Raw genomic sequence first — 12,092 nt, 5'->3', positions numbered from 1 at the left:
AGGACCAGATGGATTCAGAGCCGAATTCTACCAGAGGTACAAGGAGGAACTGGTACCATTCCTTCTGAAACTATTCCAATCAATAGAAAAAGAGGGAATCTTCCCTAACTCATTTTATGAGGCCAGCATCATCCTGATACCAAAGCCGGGCAGAGACACAACAAAAAAAGAGCATTTTAGACCAATATCCTTCCTTGATGAACATTGATGCAAAAATTCTCAATAAAATACACATCAAAAAGCTTATCCAGCAAAATCAACTGGGCTTCATCCCTGGGATGCAAGGCTGGTTCAATATACGTAAATCAATAAATGTAATCCAGCATATATCAGAACCAAGGACAAAAAACACATGATTATCTCAATAGATGCAGAGAAGGCCTTTGACAAAATTCAACAATTCTTCATGCTAAAAACTCTCAATACATTAGGTATTGATGGGACGTATCTCAAAATAATAAGAGCTATCTATGACACACCCACAGCCAATATCATACTGAATGGGCAAAAACTGGAAGCATTCCCTTTGAAAACTGGCACAAGACAGGGATGCCCTCTCTCACCACTCCTATTCAACATAGTGTTTTAAGTTCTGGCCAGGGAAATTAGGCAGGAGAAGGAAATAAAGGGTATTCAATTAGGAAAAGAGCAAGTCAAATTGTCCCTGTTTGCAGATGACATGATTGTATATCTAGAAAACCCCATTGTCTCAGCCCAAAATCTCCTTAAGCTGATAAGCAACTTTGGCAAAGTCTCAGGATACAAAATCAATGTACAAAAATCACAAGCATTCTTATACACCAATAACAGACAAACAGAGAGCCAAATCATGAGTGAACTCCCATTCACAATTGCTTCAAAGAGAATAAAATACCTAGGAATCCAACTTACAAGGGATGTGAAGGACCTCTTCAAGGAGAACTACAAACCACTGCTCAATGAAATAAAAGAGGATACAAACAAATGGAAGAACATTCCATGCTCATGGGTAGGAAGAATCAATATCGTGAAAATGGCCATACTGCCCAAGGTAATTTATAGATTCAATGCCATCCCCATCAACCTACCAATGACTTTCTTCACAGAATTGGAAAAAACGACTTTAAAGTTCATATGGAACCAAAAAAGAGCCCACATCACCAAGTCAATCCTAAGCCAAAAGAACAAAGCTGGAGGCATCACCCTACCTGACTTCAAACTATACTACAAGGCTACAGTAACCAAAACAGGATGGTACTGGTACCAAAACAGAGATATAGATCAATGGAACGGAACAGAGCCCTCTGAAATAATGCCGCATATCTACAACTATCTGATCTTTGACAAACCTGAGAAAAACAAGCAATGGGGAAAGGATTCCCTATTTAATAAATGGTGCTGGGAAAACTGGCTAGCCATATGTAGAAAGCTGAAACTGGATCCCTTCCTTACACCTTATACAAAAATTAATTCAAGATGGATTAAAGACTTAAATGTTAGACCTAAAACCATAAAAACCCTAGAAGAAAACCTAGGCAATACCATTCAGGACATAGGCATGGGCAAGGACTTCATGTCTAAAACACCAAAAGCAATGGCAACAAAAGCCAAAATTGACAAATGGGATCTAATTAAACTAAGGAGCTTCTGCACAGCAGAAGAAATTACCATCAGAGTGAACCGGCAACCTACAAAATGGGAGAAAATTTTTGCCACCTACTCATCTGACAAAGGGCTAATATCCAGAATCTACAATGAACTCAAACAAATTTACAAGAAAAAAACAACCCCATCAAAAAGTGGGCAAAGGACATGAACAGACACTTCTCAAAAGAAGACATTTATGCGGCCAAAAAACACATGAAAAAATGCTCACCATCACTGGCCATCAGAGAAATGCAAATCAAAACCACAATGAGATACCATCTCACACCAGTTGGAATGGCAGTCATTAAAAAGTCAGGAAACAACAGGTGCTGGAGAGGATGTGGAGAAATAGGAACACTTTTACACTGTTGGTGGGACTGTAAACTAGTTCAACCATTGTGGACGTCAGTGTGGCAATTCCTCAGGGATCTAGAACTAGAAATACCATTTGACCCAGCCATCCCATTACTGGGTATATACCCAAAGGATTATAAATCATGCTGCTATAATGACACATGGACACATATGTTTATTGCGGCACTATTCACAATAGCAAAGACTTGGAACCAATCCGAATGTCCAACAATGATAGACTGGATTAAGAAAATGTGGCACATATACACCATGGAATACTATCCAGCCATAAAAAATGATGAGTTCATGTCCTTTGTAGGGACATGGATGAAATTGGAAATCATCATTCTCAGTAAACTATTGCAGGGACAAAAAACCAAACACCGCATGTTCTCACTCATAGGTGGGAATTGAACAATGGCAACACATGGACACAGGAAGGGGAACATCACAGTCTGGGGATTGTTGTGGGGTGGGGGGAGGGGCGAGGGATGGCATTAGGAGATATAGCTAATGCTAAATGACGAGTTTGATGGGTGCAGCACACCAGCATGGCACATATATACATATGTAACTAACCTGCACATTGTGCACATGTACCCTAAAACTTAAAGTATAATAATAAAAAAAAATTAATTAAATAATCAATATAGATACATGGAGAATACAAATTAGCAAAAATAAATCAAGCCAACCCATTTTTTCCCGCTCAGACAAAAAAAAAAAAAAAAAATTAAACACCTACAAGCAAGCATAGTTTTCATTCTTTTTATATAAATGGTAGTGTATTAGGCACACTCTTTTGGACCTTGCATTTTTCATCGAAAAATATAACTTGGAAATTAATTTACATTGATACTGAAATTACTTTCACGTTTTTAACTGAGAGGAAGTTAACTTTTTTTTTTTTTTTTTTTGAGACGGAGTCTCACTTTGTCGCCCAGGCTGGAGTGCAGTGGCGCGCGACCTCGGCTCACTGCAAGCTCCGCCTCCAGAGGAAGTTAACTTTTAACTGAAGAATATAGACCCTGGTATCCATGACACCACAAGAGCATTTCCTGATTTGGGTTTCAGTAGTATGGCATAACTGGAATCCTCACAGAGTGTGCCTTCACGTTGCCATAAATACACATTTATCATTACGTTATTTATTGGTTCGTTCTACTCAAGGAGAACTAATAGGAAAAGAAGTAGAAGTATCAGGGTATCAGTTTGGCTGAAAACAATGTTTGCTTATACATATTATGGTGCCACCAAGAGCAACAATAAAATTCCCTGATATAATGTACTCAAAAATTTGTAGAACTTTTTGTGAGCCAGCAGAGAAAAGGAAAATCTCCCCTCACAGAAAAGAAAGACACTGCCAGATGCTGATTGCTTCCACCGTTCACAGGATCATGAAGACGCCAGATCCTGCTGGCTTGCATTCTCAGAGGAGGGAATACCAGGTGGAATTGTGGCCATGCGGCATTGTCATGAAGAATATGAGATTTGCAGCTGTCATGGCAAGGAAACCCTGGAGCTTCAGAGATTTTAGATTTTATTAGATTTTACTGAATGTTTAAGGAACCATTCTTCAAGTAGAATGATGAATACAGGCAGATTCCAAAAATCTGTTAAAAAAAAAAAAAAAGAAACCTAATAGGGCACTAACACTAACATATGATTTTTTTTATTTTTATTTTTTAATAAAGATGGGATCTCGTTATGTTGCCCAGGCTGGTCTCTAAATCCTGGCCTCAAGCAACACTCTTACCACAGCCTCACACAGTACAGGGATCACCACCCTGTGGGCTGGGTGAGCCATCATGCCCAGTCCACATATGGGATATTGACATATTTAATCTAGCCAACATTCATTAAGCATCTACTCTGCACAAGATCTTGTGCTAGGTTCTGAGGATACAAAACCAAATAAAATGTATTATTGAATAAATAATAGAGAAGGATGTGATAAATTATCTAACTTAGGTTTGCACCACGTTGTGAGAGCTCAACTTCTCTAGAAGTCAACCAAAGGAAATTTCACAAAGGTGATTATTTATGAGCTTTACTCTTGAGGGATAAATGAAAGTTTTCAGACAGAGAGTCAAATTAGAAATAGAGTTAAAAAAAATCATTGCAAATTATATTATAACCAGCTGAGCACAGAGGTCCATGGGAACATAGACCACTGGTCTTTTCAAACTAATCTTAAATAAGAAGTGAGGGTAAGGGAGGAATTCTGGTAGAGGTGATACTCGAGCTTAGCAGGTGTTTAAGCAGAAAAATAAAGTGGCTTCTAGAAAGAGAATGCAAAAGGCAAAAATGGGGTCTTATCTGATTTATTTTTATTACATTCCCATCTCACAGCACACTGAGCTGATCCATGGCTGTATAAAAAATAGATTCATACGGGGACACACACACACACACACACACACACACACACACAAAGGATGTTCTTGATTATTTTTAATGGGTATGAGAAACGCTAAATGCACTTAAGAAAGAAAACTTATTATAAGCAAAAAAAAAGGAATATTTGGTCAGATCCTAGGAAAGACACTAGGTGAGGACTGAGGAAGGGACAAATAGGGCATTTGGAGCTTCCTTTAGTTGTTAGAATATAAATAAGGTACATGTTTAGAGTGCTTGTGTTATTCAACAGACATTTATTGTGTACCCCTAGAATATAAACTCCATAAAAGCAGTGATCTTCTGTACTTCATGCACTGCTCCATCCTCAATGTTTAGATGTATGAATCCAGGCACTTTTTCTCAACGTATCAATAACTTTGCTGAATAATAAGTGTACACAGTGGGACAGGGTAGGCATAAGGTACTGTGGGAGGAAACAAAGATGACTCTCATTTTCTGTCTTCAACCAGCGTTTGATCTGGTGGAAGAATTTACAATCAAGATGATACTTTCTATTTTACCCTTGCTTTATCTATCATTTCTAGAGCAATAAAAATAATAACAAGTATGTTTTTAAAAGGAGTCTATTTAGAGCTCTAGTACACATCAGGTTGCAGTTTTCCATCTGTCAACTGCAGAAACAAATCCTCTAAAATATAGTGAAATAAAGAAATGTGATGGATAAAAGAAGTGGAAAACATTGGCGAAAACAGTACTTTTTTGTCACAAAATGTCAGTGATCACAAACTCAGAGGAAATTAATGGAGAAGGTCTACGTTATTTTTTCTTAAAAAATTGAAGTCAGAATAAGCCACACATTGCTTACAAGGAATTTCAAAGTAAAAAGTAGGCCTGGCAGCCAGAGTTTGCCCACTGCTCCAAGTGCTGTTACAGTTTACTCTTCCCTATAGCTGGTATGCATGTTTCAGCTCATTTCTCACCATTATAAATAATTCATTAGACACTATATGTAATTCACAGCCTTCCTTGAACATTGGAAGCCACAGACATGCCTATGCACTGTGGTTCCAGCTACTTGTGAGTGTAGATTTTAGGTGCCAAGGATGTGGTTCAGTAAATTATTAGAAGCATATTAATTAGCTGTTCTTCATTAGGCAGTATTGCAAGAAAGATTAGTTACAAAATGTTAACTGGTAGAAGATCTGATTTATTGCCTATCGTATTAAGTAAAACCAAACAAAATTTGGTACAAGTTCATAATCTGTTGCATTAATTAATTCTGGCATTCACTAATGAATTCTAATATTAATAAATTAATGGATGCAGTGAGCATAAAAAATATTGGATAATGAAGAGATATGTATATAGTTAACTTTTTGTCTTGTCCATAGAATTTAGAGCTGGAACAAACATTAGCTGTCATTTTGTCTAATCAGATCTAAGAATGACAGAGATGAGGCCCAGAGATGAGATGAAAAGTAACTTGCCCAAGGTTACATTTCTAAATACTCAGGGAAAAAAAAAATACAAACACGAAAACAAAGGGGAAAAAAAGCTGGATTCAGGTCCCCTGACATGACCTTATTTTGTTGTTGTTGTTGTTGTGATTTGATAATCCCTTGAAACAAAATAGAAAACTGCAAATGGTCAAAAATGTTAAAAGTCCACATTTCTTTTTTCTCAAAATATGTTCCCAAAACCAAGTTCATCAAAATTGCCTAGGGAGCAGGTAAAAAATGAAAAGAATTGGCTCCCATATAAAAGTTACATAGACTTAGAATACCCATGGCTGACTCCTTGAAAACTATATGATTTTTAAGTATCAAAGGTGATTTTTATGCAAGGTTGGAAACCCACAACTCTAAATAAACTTTCCCACGTTTTATATTATTATTCAGGTTGTATTCTCTCCTCTCAGCTCCATGAAAACAGAGATTTACTCTGTTTTGTTAACCGCTATAACCTAGGTACCCAGGACAAGACTTAATACCAGGCACCTAAGAAGTGTTTGTAAAATGAATGACGGAATGCCTGAGTGGATGCATGAATGAATGAACAGGTGATGAATAACAAGTGAATAAAGCAACAATTGTCAACATAGAATTTTCCAAAAGTTAAAATCATGATTCTTATACACATGGGAAATGAACACATTTCAAAGATTTTATTCAACTCATTAACTAAGGAAGGGACCAGTAAAATGCTAATGATGGTTCTCACAAAATTTAAGGAAGAAGAATTTATCTAGGCCTCCAGCAAAAACATTTAAGGAAAAAAAATAAAAGCAGAGTAGAATAAATTTGCTAAGTTAGATACAAAGCTTTCTCTTGTCCTTCAGGGCAAAACATCATAATCATTGGGTTATCTTTTCTATGAGGCAGAAATCTGTAAGTTAACATGAAACTTTACAGTGTCTGGGCTCTAATCAAATAACAAATAGCAAAGTCAAATAAAGGTACATCTCCTAGGGAATGGAACAATCTTTGGGTTAGCCTTTTAAACCACACCCACTGACTGTGAAAGATTGTGTAGTCACACCGTTTATTTCCAAGTTTCCATAGTTTTTCTTAACATCATGTTAGGCCATATGCAAAGATGCACTATAAACAGCCTATACATTATATATGGAAAGGAATTAATTATTATGAAATGAAATCTCTAAATAGTTACAACTTTAGATAAAAATGAGGCAGCAAATCAAGGTGGAGGAGTATAAATATAGGCAGATGAAATCGTAGGAGAGGACGGAATATCAGTCTAATTTCTTTGGGGTTGTATCAGCACTCCAGAGAGAGAAAGAGATGTAGAATATGATGCTATAGCCTGGGAAATGGTTCCCAGGCCTCTATTCAGATATAGTTCTACCAGACGCTCAAGGATTAAGAAACCATGTAAGTGGCCATATAGCTCTTGAGTCAATAGAACAGATTATGTGTGCCAGTTGCATGTCTATGGACTAGACATCTTATGTGTGTCAGTTTACTCTTTAGGGGAATGCTAGATACAATAGTGCATACTTTGAAGATTAGTTTTGAGGACTGAATGAGACAGAAGCAAATGAAAGAATTAATGCATATCAGTTTTCGCTTATATCACCATCCTATTCTGAAAAGCAACTGAGACTTGGTTTTGCGAAGGAGAGCCAGTTGAACAGTGCCTGAGTCTCACTCTAGTCACCAACACAGATTTAAGTAAGCTGCTTCTCAAACCAGCTGGTACAAAGAAAAGTCCAGGTTCCTACCATACCATTAGAGTGTAGCGTTGTCTGCTGAGTAGTGAGTAGCTGGTGCAGTGCACAGGTGGCAAAAATAATACAAACAACTACAATGGAGATGGTTCCTAGTTCAGAACAGAAGTTCCCAGGACCAGGCTAAAAGTGATGATTGCAGTAGTAAAGCCCCCAAAAGTCTGAATCAGGCAAAGAATGTGAGGCAATCTAAAAAAAGAAAAACAAATAGTAACCTGCTTGCAGAGAAAAAATTTATACATGGAAGAGCTTCGCTAGACATTCAGCAATCTATCAACTACAGCCAAGCTATAGAATCACTGATTGATATGGTTTATTTGTTTGCACAATTGTTGCTTGTTCGATTTCCTTTTTTATCTAATTTTGTCCCCAGGTTTTTTTTTTCCCCAAAATGATGTCCTAAGAAACATATATTGTGTGCAGTAATGATACACTGATATTTATCATCATTTGCATAATAATTAGCAGTGGGAAGAAGTATCTTGGTCTCCTGCGAATATTTTATCTTGTTAGCACTCAATATTAACTACTTGACCTTGCCTAGCTTATAAGATCAAATAGAGCAAAGGCCATCTCTTTCAGTGACCGCATTAATCCCAGGGCACACTACATCACTTGCATATGATAGACCTTAGCAATCATCTTTGGATTGTACTAATATAAATAAATGTTGAAAACTCACACTATCTACACTGTAGTGAACACACGAATGTGTACATTGTAAGATCTTCTTTACTTCTTGAGAGAAGGTCTTATTCTGTTGCCCAGGCTGGAGTGCAGTGGCGCAATCATGGCTCACTACAGCCTTGACCTCCTAGACTCAAGTGATCCTCCCACCTCAGCCTCCCGAGTAGCTGAAACTACAGGCACGTGCCACCATGTCTGGCTAATTTTTGTATATTTTGTTGAGACAGAGTTTCGCCATGTTGCCCAGTCTGGGCTAGAACTCCTGAGATCAAGCGATCCTCCCACCTCAGCCTCCCAGAGTGTTGGAATTATAGGCCACTGTACATATCCTCATAAGATCTTCTTGTCCTCACTTCTAATTTATGCTAATTGCCACTGGAGTGGGCAGTTATGTAGTCTTTTACCAGCTTCATGAAGATGTTTGCTGCCTCCTGGACATGTCTGTTGTCCCTGCAGTGAGGAATGTCGCAGGAATTCCCTTGGTGCTCACATGTGTGCAAATAAGCCAGAATGTGGTAAAGTTATAGTACCATGGAAGAAAACATCTACCAATGTGGGAAAAGAGTTCTCACCCCTGCCCACCAAAAAAAGATGGTCCTGAAATGAATTTCCCATGCCACCACACAGTACTTACAATCATTGAATTGTCTTTTACTCTTTCCAGCGATCTCTCATTTCTGGTCTATGGGATCTTACTTCCTAGCAAAGTACTCTCATAGAAGCCTCTGTCTCATGCTGTGCTGCTAGAGATATCAGACTAAGTGTAACTATTGCTGACCTAAGCATGAATTGCAATCATTGTCCCCAGGGGAAATTCTAATCCATAATACTATGGATTGTATTTGTAATGGACATTTTCCCCTACCATTAGAGCAGCATAACTCTTGAGAATCTGAAAAAGAAAGCCATAGCTAAAGTATGACAAGGTACCTCCTCACCTACCTGAAAAAGTAATTTTCCTCAGTGGAAATTCCAATCCATAACATTATGGATTTTGCTGGTAATGAATATTTTTTTCTACCATTAGAGCAGTATAACTCTTGTGAATCACAAAAAGAGAGCCATAGCTAGGTGATGAAAAGTTATCTTTTCACCTACCTAAGGAAACAATAGGCAAGCTATTCACTCTATGACAACTTCAGGGACCAAAGGAAAAAAATGAATGAGAAGGGGAAAGAGATAAGTCTTTTAAAATATTGAATACGTTTTACCCAGGGTAACTATTATTCTTTTCATTCAGCACTCACAACTGTATTGTAAAAAGACACTGAAGTCTGCACATTATAGATGAGGAAACTAAGATGTCACATGGTGACTTCTCCTCCAAACACACAGTTGGCAAAACGCAGAGTAGGACCTTGAACATGGGTTCATGGCTACAAGGACTAAGGGCTATGGTTTTTGCACTGAACTACATGGTTACCAGAGTCAGAAACAAAGTAAGTGCCATAATGTATATGTTTATTGTCTGGGAACTGGCTAAGAAAAATGAGTGAGGCTGACTCTCTTTTCGGACTCAGCCCGCCTGCACCCAGGTGAAATAAATAGCCATGTTGCTCACACAAAGCCTGTTTGGTGGTCTCTTTACACGGACGTGCGTGAAATTTGGTGCCGTGACTCAGATCGGGGGACCTCCCTTGGGAGATCAATCCCCTGTCCTCCTGCCCTTTGCTCCGTGAGAAAGATCCACCTACAACCTCAGGTCCTCAGACCCACCAGCCCAAGAAACATCTCACCAATTTCAAATCCGGTAAGTGGCCTCTTTTTACTCTCTTCTCCAACCTCCCTCACTGTCCCTCAACCTCTTTCTCCTTTCAATTGTGGCGCCACACTTCAATCTCTCCCTTCTCTTAATTTCAATTCCTTTCATTTTCTGGTAGAGACAAAGGAGACACGTTTTATCTGTGGACCCAAAACTCCGGCGCCGCTCATGGACTGGGAAGGCAGCCTTCCCTTGATGTTTAATCATTGCAGGGACACCTCTCTGATTATTCACCCATGTTTCCAAGGTGTCAGACCATGCAGGGACGCCTGCCTTAGTCCTTCACCCTTAGCGGCAAGTCCCGCTTTTCTGGGGAAGGGGCAAGTACCCCTCAACCCCTTCTTCACCCTTAGTGGCAAGTCCCGCTTTTCTGGGGGAGGGGCAAGTACCCCTCAACCCCTTTTCCTTCACCCTTAGTGGCAAGTCCCGCTTTTCTGGGGGAGGAGCAAGTACCCCAACCCCTTCTTTCCATGTCTCTACGCCTTCTCTGCTTTTCTGGGGAAGGGGCAAGTACCCCTCAACCCCTTCTTCACCCTTAGTGGCAAGTCCCGCTTTTCTGGGGAAGGGGCAAGTACCCCTCAACCCCTTCTTCACCCTTAGTGGCAAGTCCCGCTTTTCTGGGGAAGGGGCAAGTACCCCTCAACCCCTTCTTCACCCTTAGTGGCAAGTCCCGCTTTTCTGGGGAAGGGGCAAGTACCCCTCAACCCCTTCTTCACCCTTAGTGGCAAGTCCCGCTTTTCTGGGGGAGGGGCAAGTACCCCTCAACCCCTTCTCCTTCACCCTTAGCGGCAAGTCCCGTTTTCCTGGGGGAGGGGAAAGTACCCCAACCCCTTCTCTCCGTGTCTCTACCCCTTCTCTGCTTTTCTGGGGGAGGGGCAAGTACCCTTCAACCCCTTCTCCTTCACCCTTAGCGGCAAGTCCCGTTTTCCTGGGGGAGGGGAAAGTACCCCAACCCCTTCTCTCCGTGTCTCTACCCCTTCTCTGCTTTTCTGGGGGAGGGGCAAATACCCCTCAACCCCTTCTCCTTCACCCTTAGCGGCAAGTCCCGTTTTCCTGGGGGAGGGGAAAGTACCCCAACCCCTTCTCTCCGTGTCTCTACCCCTTCTCTGCTTTTCTGGGGGAGGGGCGTACCCCTCAACCCCTTCTCCTTCACCCTTAGCGGCAAGTCCCGCTTTTCTAGGGGACAAGAACCCCCAATCCCTTATTTCCATGCCCCGACCCCTTTCCCGCTTTTCTGGAGGGTAAGAACCCCTGAACCCCTTCCCTCCATGTCTCTATGCTCTCTTTTCTCTGGGCTTGCCTCCTTCACTATGGGCAACCTTGCACCCTCCATTCCTCCTTTTTCTCCCTTAGCCTGTGTTCTTAAGAACTTAAAACCTCTTCAACTCTCACCTGACCTAAAATCTAAGCATCTTATTTTCTTCTTCAATGGTGCTTGACCCCAAAACAAACTCGACAGTAGTTCCAAATAGCCGGAAAACGGCACTTTCAATGTTTCCATCCTACAAGATCTAAATAATTCTTGTCATAAAATGGGCAAATGGTCTGAGGTGCCTGAAGTCCAGGCATTCTTTTACACATCGGTCCCTTCCTAGTCTCTGTGCCCAATGCAACTCATCCCAAATCTTCCTTCTTTCCCTCCCACCTGTCCCCTCAGTCCCAACCCCAAGCATCGCTGAGTCTTTCTAATCTTCCTTTTCTATAGACCCATCTGACCTCTCCCCTCCTCACCAGGCCAAGCTAGGTCCCAATTCTTCCTCAGCCTCTGCTCCTCCACCCTATAATCCTTTTATCACCTCCCCTCCTCACACCTGGTCCGGCTTACAGTTTCATTCAGTGACTAGCCCTCCCCCACCTGCCCAGCAATTTACTCTTAAAAAGGTGGCTGGAGCTAAAGGCATAGTCAAGGTTAATGCTCCTTTTTCTTTATCCCAAATCAGAAGCGTTTAGGCTCTTTTTCATCAAATATAAAAATCCAGCCCAGTTCATGGCTCGTTTGGCAGCAACCCTGAGACGCTACAGCCCTAGACCCTAAAAGGTCAAAAGGCCGTCTTA

The sequence above is a fragment of the Homo sapiens genome, chromosome 16 (assembly GCF_000001405.40).
Source record: "Homo sapiens chromosome 16, GRCh38.p14 Primary Assembly".
NCBI lineage: Eukaryota > Metazoa > Chordata > Mammalia > Primates > Hominidae > Homo > Homo sapiens.
This window is presented reverse-complemented; position numbering follows the sequence as displayed.